The sequence below is a fragment of the Homo sapiens genome, chromosome 8 (assembly GCF_000001405.40).
Source record: "Homo sapiens chromosome 8, GRCh38.p14 Primary Assembly".
Lineage (NCBI taxonomy): Eukaryota > Metazoa > Chordata > Mammalia > Primates > Hominidae > Homo > Homo sapiens.
Genome location: NC_000008.11, coordinates 17,595,887 through 17,612,482, shown reverse-complemented (window position 1 = coordinate 17,612,482; position 16,596 = coordinate 17,595,887). Strand labels below are relative to the sequence as shown.

Sequence of the window (16,596 nt, the reverse complement as noted above, 5' to 3'; positions counted from 1 at the left end):
AGGAGAATAGCTTGAACCCGGGAGGCAGAGGTGCAGTGAGCTGAGATCATGCCACTGCACTATGGCCTGGGCAACAGAGTGAGACACTGTCTCAAAAAAAGAAAAGAGAGGAGAAGAGAGGAGAAGGAAGAAGGAAGAGGGAAGAGAGAAAAGAAAAGAAAAGCTATAATAAAAGCAAAACAAGTAAAACTGCTTATAAAGTGTGAAACAGATACTGCATAAATGCGTAAGCACAAGGGCTCATGTGTATTTAAATACCTGGAGGTTAGTTTTACAAAGTGTTGCCTTTTTAAAATGTGAATTTCCAACAGGCAGGGCCACCAAGAATTCCTTTAGAGGCCTAAAACTACTGTGTATTATTTTGTTCTGATTAATGGAAACACTGCCAACTGGAGTATAACACATCATTTGGAGTGCAGCATGGCTGTTTCTTAGCCATTCTGCTCCCCTGCCTGTGTGGACCTGCCGAGGCTGTGCCACCTCCCCTGGAGTTTAACCCAGGCTCCCAGATCTTAGCAAGCCTTCCTTCTTACTTGGTTCCCACTCTCGGCATTTCTAGTTCTTTCCACCGAGCTGCAACTCCACCTGTCACCCAGGCTGCTATCACCATTGACTCTCTCATTTCTCCTCTGTCAGCTGACAAATCAGTCTTTCTGGAGAAATGTCTCCCCCATCCCCTTCAGATGCCTTTCATCACGTATCAGATATACTTTCCTGAAAATCATTTTATCATTACCTCCAGTTCTAAATATTAGCTTCTCCCATTGCACACAGAATTGCACGTTACCACCTCTGCCTGGTATTCCAGCTCCTTTGCTCTCCCAGCCCTTAAGCTGAGTAACCCGGTGTCTTTAGCCATCTAGCTCCTCACCAAACCCAGACACATCGGCTCATTTTCACCTCTGAGCCCTCCACGCATCTCTTTCCCTCTGAAGCGCTCTCTTCTTCTATCTGACCAAAACGTGGTTACTCGTCAGGGTCCTATTCCCAAGGAGGCCGACCATGTCCAGTGGCCTTTGTAAAAGGGCGGTTAAGAGCATGCACTCAGGAGTCAGCTTTCCTTGGTTCAAATCCTGCCTCTACCAGTTACTGGCTATGTGACCTTGAACTACGGTTAAAGGTGACAGTGTACAGAATAGAAGAGAATTCAGTGAGTGAAAGTGGGTTGAATAACTTATCTAAGAGTCCTTACTTTTTGCCTCCCTTTTTTATCCAATGTGAGTTAAGTACAAGTGCCAAGAGTACTTTCAGAACTGAGAGGGACCTTAAAGATCATCTGGTTGGATGTCTCACTTTACAGAGATGAACTGACTCATCCAAGGTTACAAGGCCAGCTAGAGGCAGAGCTGGGAATGAAATCCCTGGGGACTCCTGAGAAAAGAGAGTTTGGCATGCCTCCCACTGCGTACCGCAAAAGAAACATGAGTTGACTGTTTTAAATACGTAAGTAAGTCCTAACCAAATGAATGACTTGGAGGAAATTTACAGATGATTACTTTCCAGATAGGCACTCACCATGTAGAGAAATGCATGGAAATAACAACGAAATCATCAATTCTCGTGTAATTTTTTTTGAGACGGAATCTCACTGTCCCCCAGGCTGGAGTGCAGTGGTGTGATCTCGGCTCACTGCAACCTCTGCCTCCTGGGTTCAAGGGAATCTCCCGCCTCAGCCTCCTGAGTACCTGAGACTATAGGCATGCGCCACCAGGCCCGGCTAATTTTTGTGTGTTTAGTAGTGACGGGGTTTCACCATACTGGCCAGGCTGCTCTTTAGCTCCCGAGCTCAAGGGATCCTGCCACCTTGGCCTCCCAAAGTGCTCGGATTACAGGTGTGAGCCACCGCGCCTGGCCCTTCTCATGTAAATTTGACAAGGTCATCTTTCAAACTTTGTGACCATATAACTCAGATGTATATGGGTTACTCACACTACAGGTTGAGAATCCCTTATCCAAAATGCTTGGAACCAGAGGGGTTTGGACTTCAGATTTTTCTCAGATTTTGGAGTATCTGCATCATACTTACTAGTTAAGCATCCCTAATTTGAAAATCTGAAATCTGAAATGCTCCAGTAAGCATTTCCTTTGAATGTCATATTGCTCAAAAAGTTTCAGATTTTGTAGCATTTCGGATTCCGGATTTATGGATTAGGATGCCCAACCCTTACTATAAATCTGGCAATTCTAATCTTACCATGTAGCAGAAGCTCATCAGCACTTCTCTGTGGGTAACATCAGAAAAACATGCCCCAGCTCTGCTCAGCTGAACGCTCACAGCCACATACTTGGGAAGAATCGGCCCTGGAAGATGAGTGAGGACAGAGGACAAAGGAGCAAGCCTCTGCCACCCTTGCTAGGAGAACAAGCTGTGAATTACTAATGGGCAGGCGTGCAGGCACAGTGAGTGTATTATGGCCAAGTCAGAATAGTGAATGCAACAGCCATGGGGCCTGGACCCATTTGCACCCAGCACAGTGAATTCACTGCGGGGAAATCCACCAAATCTCCCTCCTGCCAACGTTTTCAAGGTAATCGCTCATAACAATGCCACTTTGATGGTAAATCTTCTGAGTAACATCAGAAACCTAAATAAACAAACTGTTTTCTTGGTGTAGAGACTACAGAGATCTTGGGAATATGGCTTGATTTGAGTTTACTTTACTAAAAGCTGTGCAACATGAGCAAGTCTCTTAGGCTCTGTGGCTCAATCTAGTCACTTTTTAAAACGTAGGGTTCAAGCCACATCAGTGGTTCTCCAACCTGGCTGCATATCACAATCTTTTGGGGGAGGTTTGATGCTGTTCTCTTTGGCTCTTATTTTTTTTTTTTTTTTTTTTTTTTTTTTTTTACAGAGTCTCACTCTGTCACCCAGGCTGGAGTGCAGTGGCGTGATCTCAGCTCACTGCAACCTCCACCTCCCAGGTTCAAGCGATTCTCCTGCTTTAGCCTCCTGAGTAGCTAGGATTACAGGTGCACGCCACCACACCCAGGTAATTTTTTTTTTTTTCCAGACAGAGTCTCGCTCTGTCGCCCAGGTCGGAGTGCAGTGGTGCAATCTCAGCTCACTGCAACCTGCGCCTCCCAAGTAACTGGGACTACAGGTGCCCACTACCACACCTGGCTAAATTTTGTATTTTTAGTAGACATAGGGTTTCATCATGTTGGCCAGGCTGGTCTTGAATTCCCAAACTCAGGTGATCCACCAGCCTCAGCCACCCAAAGTGGTGGCATTACAGGAATGAGCCACTGTGCCCAGCTGGCTCCTATTTTATTATCACTATTTGAGACAGTCTTGCTCTGTCACCCAGGCTGGAGTGCAGCAGTGTGACCATGGCTCACTGTAGCCTCAACCACCCACCCCAGCCTCCCAAGCAGCCAGGACCACAGGGTGTAGCACTATATCCAGCTAAAACTTTTTGTTTGTTTTTAAGAGATGGGGTCTCACTATTTTGCTCAGGCTGGTCTCAAACTCCCGGGCTCAAGTGATCCTCCTGCCTCAGTCTGCCAAAGTGCTGGGATTACAGGCATGAGCTGCCTTGCCTGGCCCCTCCTTGGCTCTGCTTTGTACAAGTCTCTATCTTATCTTCAAGGCCTGGTCTCCAACAATCAGGTCATCACTTACACAATGATTCCATTTGCCTCACCAACGCCTGCTCACAGCTGCCTTCTCTCCTTCCTATCAGCCGCTCCACACTCACACTTGACCACACACTGTCTTCTGTTGCTCTGTCCTTGTATCTGGTTTGTCTTTTATCTCACTAGTTCTTAAGCTGCTTGTCGTTGGGACTATTTCTGTCTTTTTTCCCCCCTCATAAGCATTCTGACTTAGTAGACTGCCTTTATATATACATTAAGCAAACGTTAATGCTATTTAGCGTGCATTCTCCTCAGCAGACCAACACTGAACTGAAGGCTGTGACACACTCGCTCTGGTCACCCCTCCGGCTCTTGTATGGGACAGTGCCTCCCTCTGCCTCCTTCCCCAGGATGCCTACCAGCTGATGTGATATATTGTGCCAATGCACGAGCCACCTGGGTAAATAAACGCATGAGGGCACGTTCAACATTGATTCACTTGTATCAATGTTGGTTGACTCACAGGGCCCCCAACCCCCTACCTTTTCCCAGCTATGAAGTCAAGTTCACAAACAACAGTGCTGTTACAGGGAAGGGTGAGCTGGTGCTTTCTGACCTCTGCTCCAATGTAACTGAGACACCAGATCTCATCTGGGATCTAGGCAGTGGGATGGAGAGAGAGGAGTGCTTTGGACAGTAGGATGTGGTCTGAAAGGCAGAGACCAGGGGCAAATCAGGATGAACTCCCAAAGGCAATCCAAGCAAAGTCTTTGAGCAGGAAGGCACCAAGCGAGGCAGGAGACAGGCCCCTGAGGCCCCAGGACAGAGTGGACAAGTTGGGAATGCAGGACGGGAAGTGACAAGAGAAGGTTCTGGGCGGACTCCCCAGGGCAGCAACTTAGCAGCTGCCCACCTGCAGCCGGCTGTGTGGGTGGGACGGAGCCGCCAAGGCAGCCAAGCCCGGACACTGGAGGCAAACCTCTGACATCTTCGTTTTGCTTTTTTATAAATGTGCCATTCTACACAATTATACACTAGTGGACATAAAATTTCCCATTTTACATCTTATCCTTTATTCCTCTTTTCTTGCTCCCTCCTTTGACATATCTTTCAAAGCTGTTTTATTTACATCTTCTATATTCAAATACTTGGCCAAAAATCATGCTACTAACACACCAGTGTTTACATTTGAGCATTAAATCCCAGACGTCACCCACATGTATACTTACTTGTTAAAGCAACATTTCACTCATAAAATACATGCAATCACTGGTACTATAAACAATGCTCCATCTTGCAAGATGCCCCAAAATTATCATCTAACATAGTTGGTGATATTCCTACAGTGTCTTTGGTTTAACGCACTAGCTTGACTGTATTGTCATTTTCTTACTGTATTTTAATTCTGTGCAACACATCTGGGATAATCAATCCTAGACTTACCAGAAATGCTCAAGAAATGAAATGTTTTGTTGAAAGAAACTTTTTTTGTTGTTTTTTTAAATACATATTTGGTGTAGGTAGAAACATTATTTTTAAGTAAGAGTTAGCAGAAGACGTTTTCCCCAAAACTATAGAACGTGCTTCAACCAATTTCCCCTACTCTAATGACTAGATCGACGAGCAATGGGTGATCTAGAGAACCTTGGGACCATTAGTATGAGCATCAGTGAGCCCTCCACAGTGCTATGGACACAAAGAGTTTGTAGGGGATTGAGACACACGTCTAAAACGTTTCTTAAAACGAAACTCGCAGGCCAAGGCAGGTGGATCACTTGAGGTCAGGAGTTTGAGACCAGCCTGGCCAACATGAGGAAACCCCATTTCCAATCAAAATACAAAAATTAGCAGGGCATGGTGGCATGCACCTGTAATCCCAGCTACTCAGGAGCCTGAGGCAGGAGAATTGCTTGAACCTGGGAGGTGGAGGTTGCAGTGAGCCCAGATTGCACCACTGCACTCCAGCCTGGGTGACAGAGCAAGACTCCGTCTCAAAAAAAAAAAAAAAAAAACAAAAAAACAAAAAACGAAAAACTGGCTGTTTCTTATGATTTACCTCCTTTGGGTACAGTATGGTGAACAGAAATAGCTCACCGATATTTAGGTGGCTTACTATGTGTGCCAAGAGGTTTACACGCATGACCTCATTCTATCCTGAGAACAGCACAATGAGCCTCGTTCTATTATTACCTGCCCCCCACCCTTGTCCTGAACGGAACATAGCTGTGTTTTTCTGCAAGCTGAACGCTCTCAGAACATTGAGTACACTGGGGGAAGTCTTGTATCCTGCAGCCTCCACCCACCCATCTCTGGGGAAATACGGAGGGCCTGCAGCTGGTGCCAGTGAGTCTGGAAAGAGAACGCTCTACCTTCAGCATTGGTTAGGTCACCTATTTGTCATTTCTGGGGTGGAAGACCATTTGAAGGCAAGTATTAGAGTTTGGGGGTGGCGTTTCCTTTTGACTGGCCACTGCAAATTAGACCCCAATTGGACCCATGCTCCAGATAAGAATGAAGGCAAAGTGAGAGCCTCCTCATCTTCATTTGTTCTGCTCAGAAAATAAAATAAAACGAGCTTTGGAGGAAAGTGAGTTCGCATACAAAAGACACTCACATAATGATATGAATGCACTTAAGTGTACTGAACTATCTCCTTAAAAATGGTTAATATGGTAAATTGTACGTTCTGTGTATTTTCGAAAAATATAAATTATTTGAAAAAAAATACCTTACTCAGCATAACACCAGAGTACTCTCCACAACATTTACCAAAGTCTGTGCAGATTCTTTCTCAATGGTGGGATTCTTCTGTTGATAACCACTTAAGATATTTCTCCTTTTCTTTTAAAATGTCTTCCAGACTCTCCCTCCAGATGCTGGATGACATGATGAGCCTGGCTGGGAGCCCACTCTCTGCTCCATCGGCCCACCCTCCCTTTGTGTTGTCTGTGGGTGGAGTAAGCTGTTGCCAACCGTGGCCAAATGAAAAGCCCGATGCCCTCCCTTCTCTCTAAAAGCTATTTATTGTTTTCCGAGGAGCCAGCCATCAAAGAGATCTCCTGTGCCCCACGCACTCCTCCCAACTCCCAGTTTTTGACTGAAAAAATGCTAACATCCGACCAGATACCAGAAAAACATCCTGAAAGACAATGCCTGGACTCTTATTTCCTAGGGAGCAGGACCAGGGCTTATTACCACATCAGCCTATCTTGTTTTTACTGCTGTGATGTTGCTGACAACATAGCTGAAATCTCCAACGTCTCCTTGTTCCTACCAGCATTGATTGGTTATATTTAAGCCTTCGTCCAGACCCACTTATTCTCCGTTTCATCTCATTTTCTTCCCTGGCTCAGCGCGGTGCCAAGAATTCTCTGGCTTTACACCCTGGAAGTGTGTTATGATGAGATTCAAGAAACAAAATGTGTGCAGAGAAGATGCAAATGGGTCACGTTGATCTCCCAGCAGGGGTTATTCAGATAATCCAGAATATTCTTACACAAAGTTTTTAATATTATCAACAAAATGCAAGAAAAAATTTAAAAAATTATTGCAAAAAAGCATGAGGTCCAAGAACACATCTAAAGACCCCAGTTGGAGTGAAATGGGTATGGGGCATGGGGAGGAAGGATGGAGGCAACTGACACAGGAAGAGACATTGTCTTTCTTCTGAAGGCAATGAGGACGGCTAACCCTCACAATGCGGTTTATATTACTCAGCATCTTCTTTCAGTCTCTCTCCCTCCTTCCTTCCCTCTCCCTGTCTCTCTCTCTCCCTTCTTTCATTCTTTCTGGGACAGAGTCTCACTCTGTTGCCCAAGCTGGAGCGCAGTGGCATGATCTCAGCTCACTGCAGCCTCCACCTCCCAGAGTCAAGCAATCCTCCCACCTCAGCCTCCCAGGTAGCTACGACTATAGGCACACGCCACCATGCTCTGCTAATTTGTGTATCTTTTTTCGTAGAGATGGGGTCTTGCCATGTTGCCCAAGCTGGTCTCAAACTCCTGAGCTCAAGTGATTCACCCGCCTCAGCCTCCCAAAGGGCTGGAATTACAGGCGTGAGCCACCATGCCCAGCCATGCATTTTCTTTGTATACATATTTAGAAAGGCTTTAAATCCTCGACTCATAATTGCCCTAAATTTTGCTCTAAATTTTTTTTAAATTTTATTATTATTATACTTTAAGTTTTAGAGTACATGTGCATGACGTGCAGGTTTGTTACATATGTATACATGTGCCATGCTGGTATGCTGCACCCATTAACTCGTCATTTAGCATTAGGTATATCTCCTAATGCTATCCCTCTCCCATCCCCCCACCCCACAACAGTCCCCGGTATGTGAAGTTCCCCTTCCTGTGTCCATGCATTCTCGTTGTTCAATTCCTACCTATGAGTGAGAACATGCAGTGTTTGGTTTTTTGTCCTTACGACAGTTTGCTGAGAATGATGGTTTCCAGCTTCATCCATGTCCCTACAAAGGACATGAACTCATCATTTTTCATGGCTGCATAGTATTCCATGGTGTATATGTGCCACATTTTCTTAATCCAGTCTATCGCTGTTGGATATTTAGGTTGGTTCCAAGTCTTTGCTATTGTGAATAGTGCCGCTATAAACATACGTGTGCATGTGTCTTTATAGCAGCATGATTTATAACTCTTTGGGTATATACCCAGTAATGGGATGGCTGGGTCAAATGGTATTTCTAGTTCTAGATCCCTGAGGAATCGCCACACTGACTTCCACAATGGTTGAACTAGTTTACAGTCCCACCAACAGTGTAAAAGTGTTCCTATTACTCCACATCCTCTCCAGCACTCTAAATTTCTTAATGTGGCCAACAAGGCCCTCCATGGTCTGCCTCACCTCCCATCATCATCTCTCCTCCTAACCTCCTTCCCACTCCCTCGCCTCTGACCGCCACATCTTACCCACCTGCCCTTCATGCTCCAAGTTTTATACTCTTTCCCACTTCTAGGTACTTCCTTCAAACACTTCTCTCTTTCTGGAATTTCCTTATATCTTGCTATGCCCTTCCTTACCCAGGGAACTTTCAAATATGAGCTTGAGTTTCCTCCTCCTTGACAGCATACTTCGGTTAGCAAGGCACTTGCTAACAGACTTTAATATTTTATTAAAATTGCTTATTTAATTGTCTTCCCTAAGATTAAAAGATCTATGGGATATAGAGATTTTATCTATTTTGCTCACCATCTTATCTCCATCATCTGCCTAGCAGAGACCACAAACATAGTAGATGCTTATGATAAAACAGTGGGAAGAAAGGAACAGGGCAGAGGAGTCAAGAAACAGAGTGTTCGACAAATGATAACTACTGTTGTCAGAAACAGTACCTTTGCTATTTCCGATCTCAAAGACAGGAGATGTTTATGGGATCTGGGATGGACTGAGTCTGGAGGTAAAACCTGAATCAATTTCAGCACCTGAAAATACAGTCATCAGCAAGTTTATATTAGCCTCGAAGGGATCAACTACACTGTTCAAGGGGGCCACTGCTCCTGAAAGACCCAGCAGGGGACAGGGGCATGAATAAATTTGTCCCTGTGTGGGTACATACACTTACAAATGTCTGCTCCCTTTTTAAAAAATGTGTTTGTTGGGCTGGGCGTGGTGGCTCATGCTTGTAATCCCAGCACTTAGCGAGGCCCAGGTGGTGGGTGGATCACTTGAGGTCAACAGTTCAACACAAGCCTGGCCAACATCGCAAAACCCCGTCTCTACTAAAAACACAAAAAATTAGCCAAGCTTGGTGGCGCACGCCTGTAACCTCAGCTACTTGAGAGGCTGAGGCATGAGAGTCACCTGAACCCAGGAGGCAGAGGTTGCAGTAAGCTGAGATCGTGCCACTGCACTCCAGGCTGGGCAAGAAAGAAGACTCTGTCTCCAAAAATAAATAAATAAAAATAAAATAAAATTTGTTTGTAAAATGAATTCTATACTGTTTAAAATACAACTTGAAACTGTGACCACTACGTAGCCTGAAAGGCTGAAAGGACCATAGGTATAAGTGGGCACATATTGTATCCACTCAGTTCTCATTTGGAATGTTTCTTCATTTACTGGTGATAGGAAGCCAGTTGTAGCACAGCTGAAACCTGCCATCTAGTGGACCTTCTCATGACAGGGTTTTGCAAACAAGCATCGCAGAGTAGACCAGAACTCCAAGAGCATCCTGCAGTTACGCTCTTCCAACAGAGCTCTCCTTTCCAAATAGCCCAGTATCAGGTTTTCACACTCTGGCATCCAAAGAGCTACCCTAAATCAATGTGGAATTTCAACCACTTTCCACGCAAAGCTATTCCACCAAGAAAAATCAATGCCTCATTCTGGGTATCTGCTTTTCATTTCTGTTTTGAATCTTTAGAAATCAGGTTAGTTTAGTCTACAGCTTTAAAAAAAAATTCGATGATTACTCTCTCTTGCCTGAAGCTACCTCCATCAGACCGAGAGTGTACTGTGATCTGAATTTATCTCAACACACATACCACAGAGCTCTGAAGTGGGGCAGCCGCTCTGCCTCAGGAACTAGGGCTCCCAAGTTCTGGGACTCATGCAGCCACTTGCCAGCTTGTCCCTCTGACCAGCCACATCTCCTCTATGACTCTCAGTTCCCTTATCTGTCAAAAAGTGGGGCTTCCTCGAAGACATACACATGGCCAATATGCCCAACATACTAATCATTAAAGAAATCCAAACCAAATCCACAATGAGATACCCTCTCACACCGGTCAGAACTGCTAGTAACCAAAGCCAAAAATAACAGATGCCGTCAAGGTCATGGAGGAAAGGGGAAGTTTACATACTGCAGGTGGGAATGTGGATTCATTCAGCCACTGTGCAAAGCAGTTTGGATATTTCTTGAAGAACTTAGAGCTACCATGTGGGCCAGCAATCCCATTACCAAGTATGTATCCAAAGGAATATAGATAGTTCTACCACAAAGGCACAAGAATTCCTATGTTCATGCAGCACTAGTCACAAGAGCAAAGACAAGGAATCAACCTAGATGCCCATCAATAGTAGACTGCATAAAGAAAATGTGGTACATACACACCATGGAATACTACACAACCATAAAAAAGAATGAAATCATGTCCTTTGCAGCAACATGGATGCAGCTGGAGGCCATTATCCTAAGTAAACCAACACAGGAACTGAAGACTAAATACCACATGCTCTCACTTTTAAAGGGGAGCTAACCATTCAGTACACCTCGACACAAAGACAGGAATTATAGACACAGGGGCCCACTTGAAGGTGGAGGGTGGGAAGAGGGTGAGGACTGAGAAACTACCTATCGGGTACTAAGCTTATTACCTGGATAATGAAATAATCTACACCAAACCCTCGTGACATGCAATTTACCCACGTAACAAACCTGCACATATACACGCTCAACCTAAAAGTTAGAAAGAGGAAAAAAAAAAAAACAAAAACGGGGGTATAAGTTAACAATCAGAAGGTCCCTTTCAGGTCTAAAGTTCTTTGAGCTTGCTCCCAGAGTCTCAGGTCACATGATCTCAGGGGCCTGACTTTAGATCCCCTGCAGGCTCAGTGCCTCTGGCACCATTCATTCATAGAAATACATATGGAGGACCTGGGGCATGCTGGAGACTGTGCTGGGTGTGAGGAAAACATCAGGGAATAAACAGACACCCTCTAAGGTTAGAGACTACAGTCACTGCTGTTGTGATAGGAAGAAGTGGGACAATTCAAGAAATGCTTAGATAGTAGCATCATTGGTTGGATGCGGGAGTGAATAACGAAAGTGGTTTTCAAGTGATTCCCGGGCCTCTGGTCAAGAGCAACTGGATGGAATTAGTGCCATTCTCTGAACTGAAGGACACAGGAGGATGACCAGGTGTGGAGAAAGATCATGAGCTCAGTTTGTTTATTATTTCTTTAGAGATGGGCCTTGCTCTGTCTCCCAGGCTGGAGAGCACTGGCACAATCATAGCTCACTGCAGTCTTGAGCTCCTGGGCCCAAACTATCTTACCATCCGAGCCTCCCAAGTAGCTGGGACTACAGGGGTGCACTACTATGCCTGGCTAATTTTTAGAGGTTTTTTTGTTTTTTTTTTTTAGAGATGGGGTCTTGCTCTGTTGCCCAGGCTGGAGCACAGTCACAGATCATAGTTCACTACAGCCTCAAACTCCTGGGCCCAAGTGATCTTCTCACCACAGCATCCTGAGTAGCTGCAACTACAGGCATGTACCACCACACCTGTAATTTAAAACAATTTTTTTTTTAGAGATGGGGGTCTTGCTGTGTTGCTCAGGCTGGTCTCAAAGTCCTGGCCTCAAGTGATCCTCCCATCTTGGCCTCCCCTGTTGCTAGGATAGATGGTTCAGCGTAAATAAAAGCTCATGAAAGATCCAAGCAGATATTGTGAGCAGGCAGCTAGGTAGCTCAGTCTGGAGCTCAGAAGAAACGTTTAATGTAATATAGGACAAATCGAGGGCATTCGCCAGCAAGTAGAGAGGAGTGTATAGAACCAACATTCAATGTCTGGAAGAGTGGAGGATTCAGAGCTGGTGAAGAGGACTCCAGAAGGGCTGTGAGACAGAGAGAAAACCAGAAGGACACAGGACTGCAAAGGCCAAGACACGATGCTTCACTCAGCTAAATGGAGTTGGTGCAGGAAATCTCAAGGCATGGAAAAGCGAACTCTGGATTTAGTGCCCTTGTTGACCTTGGTGAAAAAATGCATGTGGAGTAATGGGGCCAGGAGCCAGGTAGAGTTATTGAAGAATGAATAGGAAAAAGAAAAAAAGTGAATACAATGAGGACAGAGACTCCTCCCAGGGAACTGGGTGTGAAGGTTATCAGAGAGGAAGATGGCTGCAGGGTGCATGGGGGTCAAGGCAGAATTTCTTAATTTGGTGAATATTGATGAAAAGGACCCATAAATCCTTTTCAAGGAGATGTTGATGATCCAGAATGAAGAGGCAGTAAGTGATGTATTGAAGTTCCTGGGAAAGTAGGTAGAGATGAGATCCAGGGCACGGATAGTGCTTTGGCCTTAGGAGGGAAAATCCTCATCCTTCTTCCCGTCACTGGTAGATCAGGGAAGGAGGACATATGATCAGAGAAACTTAAGGTGATTAGAGCTCCAATTTCTTAATAAGTTAGGGGATAATTTCATTAGCTGAAAGTCAGAGAGATGAAGATGAGAGGTTTAAGAAGAGAGAAAAAGTGACCTTTCTAGAGAAATGTATTGATTTTGCCAAGCAAACGTGAGGTGGCCACATCTACTGGCAGCCACGGCCACGTGGCGAGCTGTACGGCTCCTTCCAGCAGTCCTCAGGGTCCATGTGCAGACAAGAGAAAGTAGATGAACAGGGTCATTTAGGGTCGCAAGTTTCCAAGTGGAAATGAAGGAAGAACAGAGAGCAAAGGAACTTAGGACATATTCAAGAGTTCAGTAGAAATGACAGAGCCCAGAATTGGAGACTATTATTCTAAGTAAAGTAACTCAGGAATAGAAAACATCATAAGTTCTCACCGATATGTGGGAGCTAAGCTGTGAGGACACAAAGGCGTAAGAATGATACAATGGACTTTAGGGACTTGGGGGGAAGAGTTTGGGGCAGTGAGGGATAAAAGATAACAAATATGCAAATATGGTGCAGTGTATACTGCTTGGGTGACGACGGGTGCACCAGGATCTGATGGCTCACACTAAAGAACGTATGTAACCAAATGCCACCTGTACCTCAATAATTTATGGAAAAATAAAATTTTAAAAGAGAGAGAGAAGTAAAGACATAAAGGTGCAATGTGGATAAAGAGGGAGAAGGGAGAGTCAATGGACTAACGGCTCTATGAGGTCAAGTAACAATAGGTTCTGTATTAGTCTGTTCTCACATTGCTAATAAAGACATACCTGAGACTGAGTAATGTATAAAGGAAAGAAGTTGAATGGATTCACAGTTCCACGTGGCTGGGGAGGTCTCACAATCCTGGTGGAAGAGCAAGGGATGTCTTACGTGGTAGCTGGCAAGAGAGAATGAGCACCAAGAGAAATGGGTTTCCCCTTAGAAAACCATGTGATCTCGTGAGACGTATTAACTACCATGAGAACAGTATGGGGGAACTGCCCTTATGATTCAATTATCTCCCACTGGGCCCCTCCCACAACATGTGGGAATTACAGGAGCTATAATTCAAGATGAGATTTTGGAGGGGAAACAGCCAAACCATATCAGGCTCTGAGACAATGGGGATGGATCCAGGTGACACAGCACCATAGATATGAAATACATTAATACTTTGTTGTTTGCCTAGCTGACCTACCTCCCAATACATGCAGTGTACACATCAGTACTCAGTAATTATCTTTAAATACTGAATGAATGAATGACTAAGAACTGACTTCTGACATGCGGCCTAAACCCCTGTGGAAGCCAAAACATACTTCCTGAGCTCTGGTATGTGTCAGACATTGTTCTAGGTGCTAGGAATCTGATGATAAACCACAGATGTGTTATTTGCCCTCAAGGGGTTTATTCTTTCAGGAGGGAAGAAGGACACAGATCCCAGATTATAAAGAAGTAATCAATTAAATAAACAAATAAGCAATAATATATTCACATTCCAGATAAGGCAACTGGGTTCTAGGGAAACTACTGATCACACACCACTTTGCTGGTTAGTAATAAACGGAAGATTCAAATCTAGCTGTGCCTCAGCCTCTGGCTTCTCTGTTCCACAACATTCTTTGTCTTTATTCTCACTGCAGGAAACATATAGGATAAGACATTTATCCTTATTGAGTAAATTGAATGCTTTCTCTGTGTTACACATATGAACCATGAGATCAAGTTATTTATATAATAATGTTTATAAATGCACTATTTATGATAGTAAAAACTCAAAAAGCCACAAGCTGGGAACTAGGTAAGAACACAATGCTATATAACATTGATGGAATACCATATTGTCATCAAAATCATAAGGAGATCTACATAAAAATCCATATGAAATCACTGCAGGTTACAACACATTAACTTACTGAAATATTGCTTTAAACAAATTCCCAAATCCCAAATTCATAGTTGAGTGGGTCCTTAGAGACCATCTTGTTTTACAGGCTAAGAAACTGAGGCAGCATCCTTGCTAAAACACCACTGTGAAAAATCCGTAAGAAGAGATGGATTTCTGCATCCTCCAATCCTAGAGAGATGCCAAATTATATTTGGGTGCCATGAATGTTTTCTTCATATTGTGTTTTAATCATTTACCAAAATCACTGATGAATAAAGCCAGATACATCAATTCATTGAAGTATTTAGTAAGCAACTGTGACATTCCCAGCACTTTGGGAAAAAAAAATGTATATTGCATTTTTCTCTACTTGGGCATTTTACTTCCTAGAGCTCTAAAGTTCATTAGATCTCCTTCTTCTTCATTAATTGCTCTCTCTGTTGGCCTGCTTTTGTAGGTGAGTGTCAAGAACATTTCACAATTTAGTAGGAAAAGATGAAGCAGTCAGAAGATTACATTCGGATAAATGTGGTCGTGCTTCCAGAAAGCCAACAATATTGGTTATAACTACAAGGCTTGGCTGGACGAGGAGGCTCATGCCTGAAATCTCAGGACTTTGAGAGGCCAAGGTGGACGGATCACTTGAGGCCAAGAGGTGTAGACCAGCCTGGCCAACTTACCGAAAGCCAGTCTCTACTTAAAATACAAAAATTAGCCAGGTGTGGCGGCAGATACCTGTAGTATCAGCTACTCGGGAGGCTGAGGCACTAGAATTGCTTGAACATGAGAGGTAGAGGTTGCAGTGAGCTGAGATCGTGCCACTGCACGCCAACCTAGGCGACAGAGCAAGACTTTGCCAAAAAACAAAAACAAAAAACAAAAAAAACTACAAGGCTTTGTTGGATGAACACCTGGGGAGCTTCCAAACCCAACACTGTCATAGCCCTGGAAAGAACTCATTCTACGGAAAAAAGAAAACACAGAATGAATACTTCTCTATCCAAAGGCACCACGTTCTGGGAACGATGTCAAGAGTCCGTTTCTTGAATCTCTGGTGTGAAATACATCGTGCCCCCTTGAGGGCAAATAGCACATCTGTGGTTGATATAGCTATGACTAGATGTTTTTCACATTTTTTCACAATGTTTCATAAGTTTTTGGAAGCCCACATCTGTCATTACTTTCTTCTAAGGCTCTTGCTGTGCTTCGAATGAACACTATTCAAAGAGTCAAAATTTGTTTTTTCACATGCTGAATATTTCTCTTCAGATTAACGCTCACTTTAGAGTCTTTAAAATGTTTTCAAATGCATTTTAATATATAATTTAGATATATTTGAAAATACTCTTAGAAAATACTAAAACTTCAAGCATGGAATCCTCTAAGCTTAAGATGCTTTGTGTAGGAAGTCAAAGACTAAATGTTCAGAATAATTTAAATTATATCAATTCTGTTTTTTTATAAAAAGTGCATGAATCTGACTTTGGTGAATAAGGTCGTTTAAAATGTACGTGGTATTGGAGGCAGGGCCGGTCCTGCGGGCGCGTTGGCTTCTTCCCACGGAGTTACGTGCAGCCCATGTGCCTGTGAGCAGCCTGGCAGCCGATCTGGCCAGTGGGCCATTTTACAGGAACTGAGGTCCAGAGAGGACATGGACACCCCCAGCCCGGTCAGAGTCACACGGGGCTCAGTGGACGGCCTTGGATTGAATGTGGGCTCCTAACTGCCTCCGGCCACTTCTCACAAACTGGGATGGCCCAGGTCCCCCAGCAAGGGTACCCAGCAAGGGTAACTCTGGGGCTTCCTGGCTGGTTGCTTCCCATTGGCTGCCAGCTGTGTGATACCACAGGGCGGAGTCTGTGGAGGCCCCACCCACCTCCTCTTGTCAACGGCCCCATCTGCCAGTAAGGTTGAGGACTCCCAGGTTTCACCCACTGGAGGCTCAACCTGAGGAACCCTGGCCATGGTGGGTGGGTTCACCTTGGGTTGACTACCCATTGGGCCTGCCTGCC

At 44.4% G+C, this 16,596-nt stretch overlaps 1 protein-coding gene and 1 long non-coding RNA gene across 3 annotated transcripts in view; one reads left to right on the top strand and one right to left on the bottom strand.

Moving 5' to 3' along the window:
* Positions 1–16,596, bottom strand: part of PDGFRL (platelet derived growth factor receptor like) — a 66,712-nt gene that overhangs the window by 30,662 nt on the left and 19,454 nt on the right.
* Positions 1,301–6,837, top strand: LOC107986919 (uncharacterized). Its single transcript, XR_001745819.2, has 2 exons — positions 1,301–1,443; positions 6,437–6,837. It is a non-coding gene; the product is annotated as an uncharacterized LOC107986919 (long non-coding RNA).